This window comes from Homo sapiens, chromosome X (genome assembly GCF_000001405.40).
Source record: "Homo sapiens chromosome X, GRCh38.p14 Primary Assembly".
Classification (NCBI taxonomy): Eukaryota; Metazoa; Chordata; class Mammalia; order Primates; family Hominidae; genus Homo; species Homo sapiens.
In genome coordinates, this window is record NC_000023.11 from 54,463,522 (window position 1) to 54,482,547 (window position 19,026).

At 50.6% G+C, this 19,026-nt stretch overlaps 1 protein-coding gene across 1 annotated transcript in view, besides 1 other annotated feature; it reads right to left on the bottom strand.

Annotated features, from left to right (window-relative positions):
• FGD1 (FYVE, RhoGEF and PH domain containing 1) overlaps window positions 1-19,026 on the bottom strand; it is a 50,781-nt gene that overhangs the window by 18,068 nt on the left and 13,687 nt on the right. The window contains exons 2-8 of the mRNA NM_004463.3: window positions 7,793-7,966; window positions 7,062-7,239; window positions 6,495-6,936; window positions 5,266-5,355; window positions 4,263-4,411; window positions 2,175-2,331; window positions 1,930-2,068 (exon numbers count right to left, since the gene is read on the bottom strand). Of these exons, the coding sequence (NP_004454.2) occupies window positions 1,930-2,068; window positions 2,175-2,331; window positions 4,263-4,411; window positions 5,266-5,355; window positions 6,495-6,936; window positions 7,062-7,239; window positions 7,793-7,966 (1,329 nt within the window). The remainder of the gene's footprint in view (window positions 1-1,929; window positions 2,069-2,174; window positions 2,332-4,262; window positions 4,412-5,265; window positions 5,356-6,494; window positions 6,937-7,061; window positions 7,240-7,792; window positions 7,967-19,026) is intronic.
• Window positions 15,849-16,402: an enhancer, noted in NCBI's record as "H3K27ac hESC enhancer chrX:54505803-54506356 (GRCh37/hg19 assembly coordinates)". NCBI's record gives its function as "activates a minimal SCP1, AML or CMV promoter by ChIP-STARR-seq in naive H9 embryonic stem cells {active_cell/tissue: H9 hESC(naive)}" and the evidence as "EXISTENCE:reporter gene assay evidence [ECO:0000049][PMID:30033119]".

Here is a 19,026-nt window from a genome sequence, read left to right on the forward strand (position 1 = left end):
TCTCTTGCTCCCCAAGTAATCATGATCGAAACCTTCCCATGGCTACCCACCATACTCAGAATAAAATCCATCTCCTTATCTTGGCCTTCAGTCTTTGCTCCTCTCTCCAACCTCATTTCTACCATTCTACTCTTATTTGTCATGTTCAGGTCACACTGACCTTCTTCCTGATCCAGAGATATGCAACCTGTCCAGCACCCCACCTCCCCTAATATCTCCCCTTGCCTTGGACCCTATACTTGCTGTGGCCTCTGCCTGGAACATGCTCAACCCCAACAGGCATGTGCCTACCTTCTTTTTATTCAGGTTTTGACTCACTGTCTTCTAGTCAGACAGGCCACCCAATCTCAAGTAGGCTCTCCAGCCACTGTCATGCCACCCTCTTCTAATTCTCTGAATTATACTCAGCACCTATCTAATATTCTACTGTGTATTTATTTACTTATTTATTTATTCTTGAGATGGAGTCTCGCTCTGTCACCCAGGCTGGAGTGCAGTGGCTCAATCACAGCTCAATGCAACCTCTGCCTCCCGAGTTCGAGTGATTCTCCTGCCCTGGCATCCCGAGTAGCTGGAATTACAGGCACCCACCACCACGCCCAGCTCTTTTTTTTTTTTTTTTTTTTTTTGAGAAGGAGTCTCGCTCTGTTGCCCAGGCTGAAGTGTAGTGATGCAATCTTGGCTCACTGCAAACCTCCACCTCCTGGGTTCAAGCAATTCTCCTGCCTCAGCCTCCCAAGTAGCTGGGATTACAGGTGCCCGCCACCACGCCCAGCTAATGTTTGTATTTTTAGTAGAGACGGGGTTTCACCATGTTGGCCAGGCTAGTCTCAAACTCCTGACCTCAGGCGATCCCCCGGCCTGGCCTCCCAAAGTGCTGGGATTACAGGCGTGAGCCACTGCGCCCGGCCTCTACTGTGTGTTTATTATTTTTGTTTACTGTGTCTCATTGCTGACTAGAATATATGCTCCCTGAGATCAAGGACCTTGTCTGTTTTGTTCACCTCTATATCCCCAGTACCTAGAACAATGCACAAAAACATGGAGGTGCTCAGTAAGTAGCTGTTAAACTAATGAATGAATGAATGAATGAAAATCTGGGGAAGAGAAAGTGGGGTAGGCGGGGGGAGCTCTATCTGGGGTGTGGGGTTCAGGTTGATACTGGAGGAATCGGGATAGAAGACTTTTCTAGTGGTTCAATGTGTAAGGATTCAGTCTGGGGAGGAGGTATCTCAGCCTAGAGATCCAAATTTGAGAGGTGGAAAATTTGGGGTCCAGTCTAGGGTGCTCAATTTGGAGGTTCTTTTGGGAGGTTCATTCTGGGTAGTGGCTGGCGGACATGGAGGAAAGCTCTAAATCTGGAGGATGGAAAATTGATGAGCCAGGGCTCTTTCTGGGGAGCTCAGCTGTGGAGATTCTGTGATGTGGGCTTGGCCTGAGGGGTCAGTCTGGCCTCTCAGCTTGGTGGCTCAGTCCCTGAGGTTTCAGGCTCAGTTTCCTTTCTCATTTGGTACAACTTCATTTGGGGGTGAGTCTAGGGGTCAGCCTTGGGGTCTCGATCTAGGAAATGGATGAGTTCCTTTAGGGGATCATAATGGGCATGCCACTCAAACTCTGGGGTTCCAGTTGGGAAGTTCAGGTTGGGGATCTCCTTCTGAATGTTCTCTACAGGTATTCAGGCAGGGGTCTCAACTTAGAGGTCCCTGCCTGAATACCCAAAGAGAACATTCAGAAGGAGGATCTCATCCTGGGGTCTCACTTCAGAACCTCAATGTGGGCCTTTCAGTTTGGAGATTCTCCTCTGGGATTTCAATCATGTGGCAATGGAAGGCCGACCCTGTGAATTAAGTCTTGGGGTCCTGCCTCAGAGGTCTGGCCTAGAGCTATTAGTGTGGAGAAGTAGGAAGGGGCCTGGGTGCACACACTCACTTTGGGCATCCTTGCTGTCCGGGGAGCCATGGGGCAGCTTTAACAGATAGTCCTTGAGAAGAAGCTCATAGCGGGGGATGCGCTGCACAGGCTCCAGCATGTGGTGCTGCAATGTCAGGTTGCCACAGGCTTCCTCCTTCTGTGACAGGCAGAAGCAGAGGGGCTCAGATCTGGCTGCAGATGCCCCACCACATCCCTGCAGACCTCTCCTCCCCAAGTCTGCTCCTTCCAGCTTGACCACTTACCTGCACCTCATGGATGATGACTTTAAACTGGGTGGAGCGCTCTGTCCAGGTGTTGACCAGCTCCACGGCCCGGTCAAAGTTCTTCACATACTCACCATACATCTTGAGGAAGGGGGCCAGTTTCTGCAGGATGTCTCCAATGCGTGGATAGCGGTCCCTGGGGTGGAATTAGGGGCTGATGTGGTCCTGCTGCTCTTTGCCCCTCAGAAACTTCCCCCACAAGTTTCCAGCCCCAGGCAGATACCTTTCATCTCAGTCCTAGAAACCTACTTCTCAGCTAGTCTGCTCCTTCAGAAATGCTGCTTACATTACAGGCCAGTGAGGCCAAGAGGCTCGGCTTGACTTCAGACCACAGCCTGGGATGCCACCTGCCTCAATTCTGCCCTGCCCGAGTACTGGTTGAAGTACTCACCCTGAGACCTTACTGCCAGGACCACTTCATATACTGATTATCAACTGTGTGCTGGGTGATGCTGGGGACACAGAAATGAGTCACACCCATTTGAGCCCTGAGAGGGTCACCATCTGGTAGGTGAGACAAAGAGACCAGGCCTGGTTGTACTCCTCATTGGTCAGTCTGGTGCAGGAGCAAAGCAAACCAGACCTGGTCCCAGCCCTCAGGGTTCACAGACTCGTGGGGAGATATAGGAACCAGGCTTCATGCTGGCTTTCTGTGGTCACAGTCTGGTGAGGGGGACACACTTGACTCTGTAGGTGTGGAGAATCTGTAGGTATGGGGAATGTGGACATGATTTTAAGCAGGGAGAGACATGGTCTGACTTGTTTAGAGAGACCGTTCTGGCAAATGGTGTGGACTCTAAAGGCTGGATTGGAAGAAGGCCTGAGAGGCTGCCTGTAAACCTTGCCCTTCTACCTCAGGACTCAGCTTAGGCATCACCTTCTCCCTGAATCCTTCTGTAATCTCCAAGCTAGGCTTGGTCCATTTGTCTGGATTCCCACAGCCTCCCATTCTCTGCTCTATCATAGCACTGTAAAAATAACAAAAGCTTACATCCATTGAGCACTTACTGTATATATCTGGTACTGTTTTGTTTGTTTGTTTTTTTTTTTTTTGAGAGAGTCTTGCTCTGTTGCCCAGGCTGGAGTGCAGTGGTACGATCTCGGCTCACTGCAAGCTCCACCTCCCAGGTTCACACCATTCTCCTGCTTCAGCCTCCCGAGTAGCTGGGACTACAGGCGCCCGCCACCATGCCCGGCTAATTTTTTGTATTTTTAGTAGAGACGGGATTTTACCGTGTTAGCCAGGATGGTCTCGCTCTCCTGACCTGGTGATCCGCCTGCCTCGGCCTCCCAGAGTGCTGGGATTACAGGTGTGAGCCACCATGCCTGGCCTATACCTGGTACTGTTCTAAGCTCTTTTATGTATTAAGTTATTTAATCCTTAAAACAACCCTACAAGGTAGGCCGTTATTATTTCCCCCCATTTTATAGATGAGGAAACTGAGGCATAGCAACTTAAGAAACTTGCTCAAAGCTAGCAAGTGGCACAGCTGGAATTTGAACTCAGCCAATTTGGCTCCTAACCTCATACTCCTGTAGGCTATGCTATTCTGTTGCAATTTTCTGAGTTCTGGTCTGTGTTCCACATCAGACTGGGAGGTCCTCGAAGGCAGAGCTTGGGCCTGATTCTTTTTTCTTTTTCTTTTTTTTTTTTTTTAAGACAGAGTCTAGCTCTATCACCTGGGCTGGAGTGCAATGGTGCAATTTCGGGTCACCACACCTCCGCCTCCTGGGTTCAAGCGATTCTTGTGCCTCAGCCTCCCGAGTAGCTGGGACTACAGGCGCGTGCCATCACGCCAGGATAATTTTTAATGTTTTTAGTAGAGGCAGGGTTTCGCCATGTTGGCCAGGCTGTTCTCGAACTCCTGACCTCAGGTGATTCACCTGCCTCAGCTTCCCAAAGTGCTGGGATTACAGGTGTGAGCCACCGTGCCCGGCTCTGATTCCTTTTTCAAAAGTCACTAAGAGGAAGAGCAAGCAGAAATGAAGTCTTGTGTACACCTCTGGGTCTGGGCTCGGCAGGCAGGTGGACAGGGGAGTGGGCAGTCTAGGTCTAGGGCCCCTCACCATTCCTCCATGCGCTTCTCTAGCTCAGGCAGCAGGAACTGCTGGTGGAAGCAATAGATGGAGCAGATGTTAGAGAAGATGCCGTGGACAACGTCGGCCGGGAAGGAACTGCGGTTCCGAGCTTCTTCCAGCAGCCGGGCACAGAACACCTGTGGGGCAGGGCAGAAGCACTCAGCCCAGCTGGGCCTGGGGCTTGGCTGGTGAAGGGTGAGGGCAGTATTTGTGGGGAGGCTTGTGGAGCTTTGGGATCAGCATTGGTCTTGAGACTGAGGAGACAGGGAATGGGGTTAGGGTTATATATTGGGGAGATGGATTTCAGGTTATTCCAGCAGTCCCTGGCTTTGGCCCCCACACTTGAGCTTGGTCCCGGCAGAGCAAGTATTCTGGCTGAGATCTAACTCAAGTGCGAGGGTGCCTTCTGAAGAAATGTTAGGCTGCTTGGGCACAGAAAGGGGTCCCTGCTGCCAAGAGTTAGGCTTTGGAACAATTAGAAGTCAGGATCAAGGTCAGGCTTAGAATTAGATTCAGGGTCAGAGAGAAAGTTGGAATTAGATCTGTTCATTTAATGAATATTTTTGAATGTCTGCTGTGTGCGAGGCACTGTCATAGAGGGTAAGATAGAGCAGTGAACAAAGATAAAAATCTCTACTCTCAGGGATTCTAGTGGATTTGGGATCTGGAATAGGGCCAGGGTTAGAATGAAGTTCACAGCTAGGGATAAATTCAGGATCTGGGTCCAAGTCAGTACTAGTGTCAGAGTCGCAGTCAGGGCTGGTGTACCTGCCCAGCGTTAGGAGTGAGGGTTGGTATCAGCCCTCACTGATCAAGCTTGGGGCATAATCAGAGATGGCTTCAGGGACAAGCTGACTTCAAGGTCAGAGAGGAGCCTTACTGCCTCTAAATTCTGGCCACAATGGTGGGATTGAACTCAGGCCCTATCACTGCCTCCTTGAAACGCACCTACAAGGTCCTGGGGCCCTCGTACCCCCAAGGGGCCACTCACCTGATCCAGGAGATGGAGCCTGGAAACGTAGGCCTTCTCAGTTTGCAGGAGCTCATTGGCAATGTGAAACACCTTTTGCTGCACAGTCAACTGGAAAGGAGAAACAGTAACCCCTGATCCATCATCCTCTATCGTAACCCTCACCCAAGCCCCCAGAATTCTTAAAACAGTTCCCATGCCACTCTAAGCCTAATACCACCCTAGGATAACCTTGACCCCCATCTCTAGATCTGTAAGTCCTTCAGCTTCATCCCTGAGTCCCCAGTCTACCATAAAGCCTACCCCTCCATTCTGATGACGTGCACTCCCTCACTCAACAACTCATTCACCCGCTCTCTCTATTCACTCAGCAGAGTGTAGTGGTTAAGCATGTGGGATGGTAAGTCAGACTTCCTGGGTTCAAATCCTAAGCTCTGCCATTCACTAGCTTGTGTAAGTTCTTTAACAGCTCTGTATTTAGGACGCCTCATCCATAAATACAGATAATAATAGAATCTATTTAATGTAGAGGCTGGTGAGAAACAAAAACAAAACCAAAACAAAATAATAATAGGACTGAAGTCCATTGGTAATGGAGACAATTAGATAATTTAATATAAATAAAACACATCAGACTACAGATTAAATGGTATATAAATGTTAATTAATCATTTATTCACCCACTCAGTACACTATCAGCAAGGGCTTGCTGAGTACCTGGGGTGTGAGAAAAGCACAAAAGTATAAGAACGTATAAAACTCATTGCCTGTTGGCCTAGTTTCCTATTCCTTAGATATATGTGTTGACTACCTGCCATGCCGGCAGTCCCTGGCTTTGGCCCCTACACTTGAGCTTGGTCCTAGCAGAGCAAGTATTCCGGCTGAGATCTAACTCAAGTGCGATGGTGCCTTCTGAAGAAATGTTAGGCTGCCCGGGCACAGAAAGGGGTCTCTGCTGCCAAGAGCCTTCATCTGCACAGCCTCGGGCCCCTGCAGGGCTCTAGCTCTTGCGCCCCTCCTCCAGCTGTTGAGAAGTCTCTATGGATGTAAGTAAGAGACTTTCCGTATTACAAATAAGGAAACTGAGGCTTATGGTAGGGAAGCAGAAAGGGAAAAGACTTGCCCAGTGTCACAGAGCTTGGAAACAAGGTCCTATTTCGAGAAATACTGAGCTAGGGGAAGAATCAAGCACAAAAGGCGCTTCCAGGTTCTCCACATGGACCTGCCTCTCGGTGAACACAGGTCAGTACCTCCACAGACTCCTGTCTCTCCATCAGGGGCACTGGGATTTCTCTGTCCTTCTCTTCCTCCTCCTCCTCGTCGTCCTCCTCCTCCAGGTCACTGTCAACCTCTTGGGAGCCAGGCCGGTGGGGGTCGGCCAAGGCAACAGGCACACTAGCCAGGGCAGGGGGCCCAGGGCAGAGGCTGTGGCTGGGGGGCCCGTCATCACTGACGAAGCAGGTCTCCTCGCTGTTGGATGGCGAGCTGATGCTATCAATGCCGCTGTCCCGGTTGGGCACCTTCTCACCGTCCCGGGGCCCAGGAGCCAGCAGAAACAGGCAGCGGGAGGCCTCACCCTCGGGGAGCTGGGGCACTGGTGGCTGCGAGGTTGGCTGTGGCAACATGACTGGCTCTGGGGGACCTGGGCTGGGGCCAGGGACTGGTCTATCCGAGGCGACAATCACAGGCTCTCTGAGGTGGGTGGTGGACACACATGGAAGCAGGGTATGAGCTTGACTGAGAGGCCTCTCCTGACTATCCCTTCCTGTCCCAGGCTCCCCCTTTCCCCTAGAGGGTGCCCTAGGGACCAGACTCACCTTTCAAACTTCTCAATCAGTGAGGATACTGCTGCAGAACTGGGGCTGGCCTCTGCCCTGGGAGCCAGGCCCTTGGCCACTCGGGGGTCGGCAGGCAGTGGGCGTGATGGTGGAGGGGGGATGGGCTCCAGTGGGGGGGGCATCCGGGGCATCTGCAGGTAGCTGGGCTTTGGGGGCACTGGAGAGACGAATGGGGAAGAGAGAAGGGAGACATCAGTGAGCTGGATTTGAGCCTGGCTAACATGGTGAAACCCCATCTCTACTAAAAATACAAAAATTAGCTGGGCATGGTGGCACGTGCCTGTAGTCCCAGCTACTTGGGAGGCTGAGGCAGGATAATTGCTTGAACTCAGGAGGCGGAGGTTGCAGTGAGCCAAGATCATGTCACTGCACTCCAGCCTGGTGACAGAGTGAGATTCTGTCTCAAAAAAAAAAAAAAAAAAAGCTGGATTTGGAGGTGGCTGGCTGTCATGGCCAGGCCACAACCCCTTCCACAAACACCAATCTGCACCTTTGCCTGAGGTAGACACAAAGGGGCTAAGGTGAGATCACAGTATGCACACATTAGCCTCAGGCCACAGCACTCTGTGCACTAGGTAGGTAGCACTGCCCTGGGAGCATGGTGGCTCCCTATCCTTCTAACAAACCCTCTTCTCTGCCACTGGCTAACTTCTCCCCTCCTCTGTACCCTCCCCTGGGCCACTTCTCTGCTCTTTTCCAGGACCACTTACCCTGTGGCTTCGGGCCCGGTGCCCGCTTCAGTGGTGAAGGACGCTGGCTAGGGGTTTCAGTCGGGGGACCTGGGTCTGAGCGAAGCCGCTGGGGACCTTCTGGATGAGGCTCTAGGCTTTGGCCAGGGTCAAGGGACAAACTTTTAACCAGGATCCGGTTTCCCTGGTGCAGCCCTGCAGGAAGGGAGAAAATGGGTGTGAAGTAACTGACTTTAACCCAAAGGGGACTGGGGTTAAAGTTAGGACTGGCATGTCTTAGCAGCTATCTGGGGTATTGGGTTTCTCTGAGCCCCTTTCCTGGCCACAGTGTTTTTCTGGGAAGCCCCTATCCTAGCCCTCAGATGGAGAGCCAGACCCAGGGCTGGGGCTGGCTGTTTTCATCAATAGATAAGAATTCTTTGTGACTAGTGCATTGATTCCATGTATGTCAGCAGGCAGTATCACTAGGGAGTTTAACCAGGCTGGGGGTGGCTGTGAGCACCCTAAAGTTTATACATGCGTTTGCAGCCCTTGTTTCTACAGCCACATAGGTATGCTGAGTATAAACCATTCTTCAACGCTTTTGTTAAGGCCCTGAGAATATCTAGACTTTCTTGTTTACAATTTTGTGCAGCTAAGTGTGCTTAAAAATGATGAAATTGTGTTTCATGAGCAAGTTTTGCTTCTTGAAATCCCAACTTCTGGCTGGGCACAGTGGCTCATGCCTGTAATCCCAGCATTTTGGGAAGCTGAGAAGGGAGGATTGCTTGAGCTCAGGAATTTGAGATGAGTTTGGGCAACAAAGTGAGACCCTGTCTCTACAAAAAATATAAAAGTTAGCTGGGCAGTGTGGTGTGCACCTGTATTCCCAGATACTTGGGAGGCTGAGGTGGGAGGATCACTTGAGCCTGGGAGGTGGAGGTTGCAGGGAGCTGAGATCACCCCACTGCACTCCAGCCTGGACAAAAGAGCAAGACGCTGTCTCAAGAAAAAAAAAAAAAAGAAGAAAAATGAAAAAGAAAATCCCAACTTCTCAGCAATCTGTACTACCTTCCTCAACTTCCACATCTACACAGACCCACATGCATCTTCCACCTCTGCCACACACACACGTGCAACATCCAGAGTTCAGGTCACAGGAATAACTTTAAATCAAGCAGCCAGTTCAGAAAAAGGGGAGGCCTTTTTATACTGTCCCTCTTCCCTCACTGTATGTCCCCTAAAGCCACCTCTATCTTTGGCTCTAGAGGAGATGATGGTCATGCTTAGGAGAGAGGATTTGGTCTGGGAGGCAGTGAGGGACCCCCACCCCAGGGATGGCATGCCCCAAGGAAAGGAATGTGGGGCTCATGTGGTCCTGGCTGGGCAGGGGGCTGTGGGAGTGCCTCAAATGATAGAGAAGTCAGGTGGGGCCAGAGAGGAGTGGGAAAGGCCTTGGATGCTAGGCTGACATTCATCCTGTAGCAGAAGGGAGCCACAAAAACCCCTTGCATAGGGAGAGATGGAGGCAAACAGGTGTGAGGACAAGAGAGTGAGCAGTAGTCAAGAGCTCCCGGAGGTACCACCATCACATGGTGTAAGTTATGCTGTGCCACAACCACATGGCCTCCCACTCACAGCCACAAAGGGTCTGTTAGCTTATATCACACACAGTCTCATAAATGACTAGTCACAAATGGGCCCACTCAGTCATAGAAACACTTGGTGTTATTTACACCATTTCACCCAACTGCAGGTAATCGCCCTCCTGAAAGCCTAGTTACACACAGTCACAAAGACCTGCGGCCACAACCTCACACACGATCACACAGCCTCGCAGTATCACACACACCTGCAAACATGGTCATGCAGTCACAAAGACACAGAGTCACACAATGGCAATTCTGCCATCTCACACACAGCTTCATACAACCGCCCAACCACAGACAATCATATACCCAGTTAGACATTCTTCAAACATGGTTTCACTGAGTCACAAAAGATATACATTGTCATTTACACTATGTCTCACAATTGCAGGGCCATGGAGTGTCATACACACCATGTCACACCTGCAAACATGGTTACACACAAAGACTATAGGCACAGAGTCAATTATACCATGTCAGACACAATCACATACAGTGGCAAAACAGCATAAAGTCACATGATACCACACACTCAGAAACACGAACTCACAATCACAGACATGTGGCATACAGGTGGCCCTCCACATTCATGGGTTTTGCATCCTCGGCCTCTGCATGGAGGCTGATTGATCGAAATGTTTGGAAAAAAAGACAAAAAATAACAATACAACAATAAAAATTATATAAATAAAACCCAGTACAGTATAACAACTATTTACATAGCATTTACATTGTATTAGGTATTATAAGTAATCTGGCGATGATTTAAAGTATACAGGAAGGGTCAGGTGCGGTGGCTGACGCCTGTGATCCCAGCACTTTGGGAGGCCAAGGCGGGCGGTTCACTTGAGGTCAGTAGTTCGAGACCAGCCTGACCAACATGGCAAAACTCTGTCTCTACAAAAATACAAAAATTAGCTGGGTGTGGTGGTGGATGCCTGTAATCCCAGCTACTCGGGAGGCTGAGGCAGGAGAATCGCTAGAACCAGGGAGGTGGAGGTTGCGGTGAGCCAAGATCATGCCACTGCACTCCAGCCTGGGCGACAGAGACTCCATCTCAAAAAAAAAATATATATATATATACAGGAAGATACACATAGTTTATATGCAAACAACATGCCATTTTATATAAGGGACTTGAGTGTTGGCGACTTTGGTATCTTCAGGCTGTCCTGGAACCAATTCCCCATGGAGACCAAGGGACAACTGTCATTTACTATGTCATACTCATCTAACAAACACATCCACGGTGTCCCTGGGTCTTAGCCATAGGCCCAGGAATACACACACTGTGGGACACTTGCCTCCTCCTAAATAGTCACATACAAACTCTGCTGTGAAAACATACACACACAAAGACCTCTGCAGCCTCCCTTCCAGGGTCACACAGGCAGAAAGAGTCACAGGGGATTTTAGGTCTCCCAGTCCCGGAGGGAAGAAATAGCCCAACCCACAGGGTTCCAGCAGCTTCCCTAGGCCCCTGACCTCACCCCTGGCTACATCCCAGCCAGGTCCACCCCAGGGGACTCAGATCAGGGTCCTTTCCCAGCACTGAGGGAACAGGGTGCCCCAGGCCCCAGGCCGAGCGCCCCTCCCCAACTCTGTACCTTGCTTTGGGTGTCGTTCCTCACTTCCTTCCCCACCTAAGCTGGCAGGGCCTGGCCAGGATGGAGGAGGCGCTCCTCTCCACTCAGCTGTGCCGCTTACCCTGCCCTGCTCAGCACATCCTGGCCTGGTCTTGCCCTGCCCTCCCCCTGGGCGTGGGGGTGAGGAAGATGAATCACCTGGAGGGTGGCACAGGCGGAGATGTGGTTGGAGAGACACATGGCCAGAGCAAGGGAGAGAGACAGAGAGGAGCTGACAGGGCCAGAGAGGCAGTGAGTAAAGCCAGGCACCCTGCCATGCAGAGACCCCTCCTCAGATATACACACATAGGTGCCAGGGTCCCTGGTGCCCCTTGTCTGCCTCCTTGGGCCTGGAGGAGCCCACCTATCTCCACACCTCAAAGCAGGCAGGCCTCTCTGGGCAAGCCCTCCCTACCCTATCTGTAGCAAAGCAGCAGGGTCCCTGGATAATGCTGCTCTCCTTCTCCTCCAGTGCTGGTCCTCGGGATGGAGTGACCATACATCCCACTTTCCATGGCCCTGCCCTAGCCCACCCATTGCTCCCTCCTCACCCATCTCACCTGACAGCCCACAGACAGACCTGCCTCTCCATTCTCTCTGCCTCCTTGCAGGCAGCCCTGCAGGAAGAGGAGGCTGAATGAAATGCAAAGATTCCCTGGAGTCCCAGGTGAGAGGAAAAGAGATTGTCAGCCCAGTTTCTAGTGAGGAGATGGAGTCAGAGAGAGAGGCAGTGACTTGCCCAAGGTCACAGAGCAAATCAATGAATGGCACACTTTTGGGCAGACTGGTCATGGACTGGATTCCTTTCTTATTAACCCTGCTCTCCAAGGGCAAGCTGGAAAAGAGGGGAACCAGGAGGGGCGGGTGGACCCAACGGCTTCCGAAAGTCACAAACTGCAGTGTAGCTAGTCAGAGGGACACCCCTCAACCCTGTCCACAGGGAGTTGAACAGGGGTCCAGTTTAGGAGCCTAGGCCTGGCCAAGAACCAGGCTAGGTTTCACTGAGCGGGAGAAGGTTCAAGATCCCTCCCTCTCGTTTCAGAACTCCCTCTCCCTTGTCTCTCTGCCTACATTTCCCTGTCTCCTATTTTCCCTCAGTGGCCTCCTTGGCTCCAAGTCTTGCTCCCTCCAGGTGGCTGAATGAACTTACGTACAGTCCAGCTCAGATCATGCCACTTACCTGCACAAGAACCTTCTGTAACTCCCTACTGTCCATGGGAAAATAGAAACTTCTCAGCTAGGCCGGGCGCGGTGGCTCACGCCTTTATTCCAATACTTTGGGAGGCTGAGGTGGGTGGATCACCTGAGGTTGGGAGTTCGAGACCAGCCTGACCAACATGGAGAAACCCGATCTCTACTAAAAATACAAAATTAGCTGGGCGTGGTGGCGCATGCCTGTAATACCAGCTACCGGGAGGCTGAGGCAGGAGAATCGCTTGAACCCAGGAGACGGAGGTTGTGGTAAGCTGAGATCGCACCATTGCACTCCAGCCTGGGCAACAAGAGCGAAACTCTGTCTCAAAAACAAACAAACAAACAAACAAACAAAAACACCAAAAAAAGAAACTTCTCAGCTAGCTCTCAGTGGCCCCTCATGACCATGCTGAACTCTATGGCTTTCCTTGGCTGAGTTTGGTCTCCAGAATATTTTTGAACCTAGTAGACCCTGTGCTTGGAGATGAGAAAATCCCATCCCTGCCCTTGGGGAGCTCCCAGGGTAGGCCCCCCTCCTCCTTCCTAGAAACCACAGCCATTCCCACTGCCCCATCCCGTCCCTACCCAGCAAGGTCCTGGATTCATTTTCTCCAGCCCTTTTTTTTTTTTTTAAGACAGGGTATTGCTCTGTTGCTTAGGGTTAAGTACAGTAGTGTGATCAGGTCACTGTAACCTCAAATTCCTGGGCTCAAGTGATCCTCCCATCTCAGCCTCCCAAGTAGCTGGGACTACAGGTACTCACTACCATGGCTGGCTATTTTTAATTTTTTTTGTAGAGATGGGGTCCTTCTTTGTTGCCCAGGCTGGTGTCAAACTCCTGGCTTCAAGAGATCCTCCTGCCTCTGCCTCCAAAAGTGCTGAGATTACAGGCATGAGCCAGTGTGCCCAATTCCAGCCCATTTTTCTTGTGGTTGATAATCCACAACATTATCACACCCACACCCACACCTCCACACCTGACAAGATCCTCCACCAGCACTGCCCCTTCCATCAACGGATTTATAATTCCCCAATGCCCAGTAGAGCAGAGATCACCAAAAAGCCCCCGTCACACACATTTGGTCACACCACCAAATCTTTCTTATTTTTTATTTTTGAGGTGAGGCCTTACTATTTTGCCCAGGCTGGTGTCGAATTCCTGGGCTCAAGCAATCCTCCTGTCTCAGCCTCCCAAGTAGCTGGGACTACAGGTGTGTACCACCACACCCAGCCACCACCAAATCTGATAACACTTTGTGGAAATGTACCCAGCCACACACCAACTGTGCACATCCCTCAAAGACCCAGAGAGAGAACCACAGAGCTACTCATGTCTGTGTGCACCGTGCTCGGCACAACTGCACACACACAACCACCACTGCCACTCGGACATCTCTTGTCACCTAGGAAAGCATACTCTAGGCACCCCAGGAGTGCCAGTGCACTGTGCCAGCTCTGCTGTGGGGATGGGGGTGGGGTATGCACCCTTCCTGCCCCACTCTCAAACCCCTGCCCCCCCAGGCATTCAGCAGGCCAGAAGGGCAATCTTGACCCTTACCCTCAGGGAGCTCCCAATCTCAAAGACAAAGACTCTAACTCAGGAAAGGCAACGAGGGCGAGCCTGTGGGGACTGGGGAAGCTCAGTGGAGGAGAATGGATAGGGTGGCCAGATAAAATACAGGACACTCAGTTAATTTTTTTTTTTTTGAGATGGACTTTCGCTCTTGTTACCTAGGCTGGAGTACAATGGTGCGATCTCAGCTCACTGCAACCTCCGACTCCTGGGTTCAAGCAATTCTCCTGCCTCAGCTTCCCGAATAGCTGAGATTACAGGTGCCTGCCACCAAGCCCAGCTAATTTTTGTATTTTTGTAGAGATGGGGTTTCACCATGTTAGCCAGGCTGGTCTCGATCTCCCGACCTCAGGTGATCCACCTGCCTCAGCCTCCCAAGGTGCTGTGATTACAGGCGTAAGCCACCATGCCCGGCCACTCAGTTAAATTTGAATTTTAGATAAACAAGGAATGTTTTAGTATAATATGTCTCATGAATACTTATACTAACAATTTCTTAAGCTATACTTAAAAAATGACTTGTTGGGCCAGGCGCAGTGGCTCATGCCTGTAATCCCAGCACTTTAGGAGGCCGAGGTGGGTAGATCATGAGGTCAGGAGTTCGAGACCAGCCTGACCAACATGGCGAAACACCGTCTCTACTAAAAATACAAAAATTAGCTGGGCATGGTGGCAGGCGCCTGTAATCTCAGCTACTCGGGAGGCTGAGGCAGGAGAATGGCTTGAACCCGGGAGGCGGAGGCTGCAGTGGGCCGAAATCATGCCACTGCACCCCAGCCTGGGCGACAGAGTGATACCCCGTCTAAAAACAAAATGACTTATTGTATATCTGAAATTCAAATCTAATTGTATTAAATACTTTCTGAAGGCTAATTCTGGCAACGCTAGTCAGGGAAAGCTTCCAAATGAATGTGGCAGAGCCGGGCCTTCAAGACAGCACCTGGTAGCCAGAGTTCCCCCAGACTCTTGTCCACTTAAGCCTCAAGCAGGCTAGGGACTCTACCCAATTTTTTCTGCCATGGGCATCTGAATGCTCACGACAGTGCCATTATTTCAGGGATGGCCTTGAATCTGGTCTTTTTTTTTTTCTTAAGTCACTAATTTATAAAACTATGATACTTGACTATTCCCAACAAGGGTGGTGTCATCATGATCACTGACTGAACTGCACGGATTGAACTGCTGCAGCACCTGTATTAGGAACAGCTGGCTTAGGACTTGCACAGACCTCAGTTTAGATCACAACACTACCTTTTACTAGCTGTGTGGCCCTGGGCAAGTCTCCCCATCTACCTGAGCCTCAGTTTCTTTATCTGGAAAGAAGGACAATAATAGCAGTTCCTTGGTTTGGGGGAGCCTATGGGACAAGGAAGGGAAAGAGCACAGTGACCCACCCCCACCCCACCACACACACAGAGTGATATGGGTTAAATTTGAAAACCAACAGAATCACACATCCACAAAGCCACAAAACTACACACATAAATACATAAGCCCACGGGCTGTAGGCTGCAACCCAACGTAAAACTGTATATACACTGAGAAACACAAGCAAACTCAGCCAGTGAGAGACACAGAACCTAGCCCCACTCACCAGGATAGCTCTGCAGATCAGGGCAGGATTCCTATGCGAGGTGGTAGGGCAGTGAAGACAATGGTGCCCTGTCCTCCCCATTCAAATTCAATTCAAAATACAAACCAGAAAAAAACTGTAAAATAAGTGTCAAGAAGTGTAGCTGAGGTTTGAATTTTCCCATGACAATTTATTATTATTGAAATAGGAAAATCCTTGCAAAAATTGTTTCTGGTTGCTGCATGCCCCTGCGTGGCAGGTGCCCTGAGCACATGCTTCTGGGTTTACTGGCAGAGAAAGTCCAGCATCTAGCTGTGTCTGAGGACAAGGGCTCCTTTTGCCCATTCCCACTGGAACTGGACCCTGCATCTCCCTCAACCCTTCCTGGGAATCTCAGCTGCCAAGTTTTCCCCCTCCCAGCTAGTAGCAGCCCCTCTCACTTCTCCCAGCTGTAGCCTTGGCTTAATCTCAAGACAGCTACTAGGGCCCCAGACTGGCCCTTGGCCATTAACTCCCTGGTGTCCTGGGGCAAGTGGCTTCAAAGCTCTGGGCCCCAATTTCCCCATTTGGGGCCCACAGCTATGAAGGATAGCTCTGCAGAGATGCTAAAATGGGGAGAAAACGTGTGTTCTGCTTGTTGTGAGCAATCAGCGAGATCCTAGGGTGAGCAGAAGCCAGCCCCTAGCACGCAGGTCTCCTGACAGCCCAGGCAAACTTCTCCCTACAGCCCTCAAATCTTTTCCTTTCCGGGCAGAGAGGTAGGCTCCTGGGACAGCTGGAATTCCTGGGGGTGGGGTGGGGAAAGGGAGCAGAGGGAGTGGAGAAGAACAGCAGAAAGGAAAGTGCCTTTTGGGAAGCCAGTTCTGTCAGGGGAAGGGGCATCCCTCCGCTTGACAAAAAAAAAAAAAAAAAAAGCCATAACTGCCCCACCTCTTCCCACCTGCCCCTTGAATGTGAACTGCAGGCCAGCTGCCCCACTCCGCCTTCAAGGCCAGACTGCACCCAGGCTGCCTGACCTGGCAGATGTTGTCTCTCAAAGTTCAAACACAAAGCTCGGTCAAGTGTGAAATGTGCAGAAGGAGCTGTTTACAGGAACCCTGTGGGTAGCTCAGGGGTTCCTTCCCTGAAGTCGACTATTCTTCTCAACATAAGGACTCTGCAGAAAAATGGAGGCACTTTCTATAGTGTGAAGACACTTTCAAGAAGTGGGGGCCATTCTGGCAAGTCAGGAGCTTCCTAACTCTTTCGAGTTTCCTGAAGAGTGTTCCATCCTTCAAAACGGAGACACTTTCTGTGAAATGGAGATCTCTTTGATAAACAGAAGGCCCTTCTGTAAAGGGAAGAAGTTTTTCCAAAAAGAGGAGCCTTCTTCAAAGTGGAGGGACATGCTGTAAAGTGAGGAGAGTTCTCTAAAGGCCCTTTTGTAAAATGGATGGCCTGTTTGTAACCAAAGGACTCTTAAGGATCATGACAAAACAGAAGACTGTTAAAAAGGAGAACTCCTTTTTGTAAAGTGAGGCCCCTTCTGTAAAGAGAAGGATGTTTCTGTAAAGTGCAGACCCTAGTATAAAGTGAGGAACTTTCTGTAGAGTGGGACAGTCTAAGGCCATGGGGAATGGTGGGGACTGGGTTAAACTGGAAAGCACATGCCTAACCTGAAGTAGAAGCAGCAGCTTCTCCCCTCCACCCAGGTGTCATCTTGCAGTAATGTGGCGCTGTATTGTCAGGTCTTCCAATATTTCAAGGGAATCCAGAAATCCAGATTTTTCTTCTTTTTTTTTTTTTAGACAGAGTGTTACTCTGTCGCCCAGGCTGGAGTGCAGTGGCGCAATCTCAGCTCAGTGCTACCTCTGTCTCCCGAGTTCAAGCGATTCTCCAGCCTCAGCCTCCCGAGTAGCTGGGATTACAGGCACACGCCACTACATCTGCCTAATTTTTGGATTTTTAGTAGAAACGAGGTTTCACCACGTTGGCCAGGCTGGTCTTGAACTCCTGACCTCAGGTGATTCACCCGCCTCGGCCTCCCAAAATGCTGGGATTACAGGCATGAGCCACTGTGCCCGGCCGGGAAATCCAGGTTTTTCATGTGAAGTCCCTTAATTTTAAAAACTGTGGGCAAGCCAAATGAAACTTGTGAGTCAAATTCAACTTGTGGGCCATCATGTTGCACTATCTGAGTTAGATGATCCTGAAGGCTCATTCTACTCCTGCTGTTTATGCCTTGCCCTATCTCACATGCTCTTGCCCTTGAGTAGAAGCCTTGCAGGTCCTATCTCCCACTCCCTGGAAGGGCCCAGTTTCCTCTGTGTCTGAGCAGGCTCAGGGAGCTGGCCCATGCATTACTTGTCAGAAGTTCCCTGAATTGGAATCTGCCTTTTGTTCTGTGTGACCCGATTTACCTTCTGCCCTGTGCAGGATGCCTAAAGAAGAGAGAGCAGGAGATTGTAAGAATATGCAGAAATCTCTGGAACTCAAGCTGTTCACTTTTTAGTAGAGGATATAAGATATGAGGATTCAACTGCTGAACACCCACTCTGGGCCAGGTGTTGTGTTGATGCTATCTCGTATGGCATCCTCCTAATGATCCGGTGAGCTATTACCCATTTTACAGATGAGGAAACTGATGCACAAAGAGGCAAAATAATTTGCCTGAGGACAGCTAAAAGTGGTTGAGCTGGGACCAGATCCCAGGTGTGTCTGTGTCCAGAGTCACAGAGCACACCTTCAGTGACTGCTGAGTTGGGAAAGAAATCACATTTGGAGGGGGGAGGAGAGAAGACTTCCTAAAGGAGGTGGTTTTTAGTTGCACCATCCAGGATGGGGTGTGTTTTTTTTAGGTATAGATGGACTGAGAATGGTTCTGCAGACAAGGGAAGAAGAGTGGGCAAAAGTGTGGATATTGGGTGGGGAGGTATGAGTGAAGCATATATTTGAAGTACGTAATGTCATGGGTTTGCAAGAAGGCTCCACAGCAGGAAGAAGGATCAGGAAAGGCCAAAAGATACAAGCAAGCAGACACCCCCTTCCCTACACCACAACCATAGACCTATAGGGGGCATGCAGAGGCAGACGCAGGCACGGGAACAGACACAGGTATAGAAACAGACAGACACATCCACAAGATCTAAGGAGACCCATGCGCAGAAACATCTAGAAACTCCCACATACTTAGGGCCAAGGTGACATACAACCAGGCACAGAGGAGCACGTAACACATACAGACCCAGAGACACACATGGATCTATATGCAAACATACAGATGGCCATACAGAAACAAGAACATTAAGACACACACACAAAATAGATCCACGGGGACAAAGAAGGCCAGGCACATGCGCGCGCACACGCGCGCACACACACACACACACACACACACACACACAGACAAACCAAGCAGCCACATGAGAGCACAAGCAGCCCATCCCTCTTCCAGTTCCTTGATTACTGTGAGGGCCTGGCCACCTCCTCCCTGCTTCTCTGGACTAGAGGCCAGAGGATAGGGGGCGGTAGCTCCACCCCCGCCCATCTCCCTCCCCCGCCCCGGGAGGAGCTGGGGACTTCAGAGGACAGGAAGGGAAGGGAGTGGAACTGCAGCTGGGAGCACTGGGAGCAGTAATTACCAGATGCTGGGGCTGCCACGCTGGCTGAGATTCCCCTTCCTG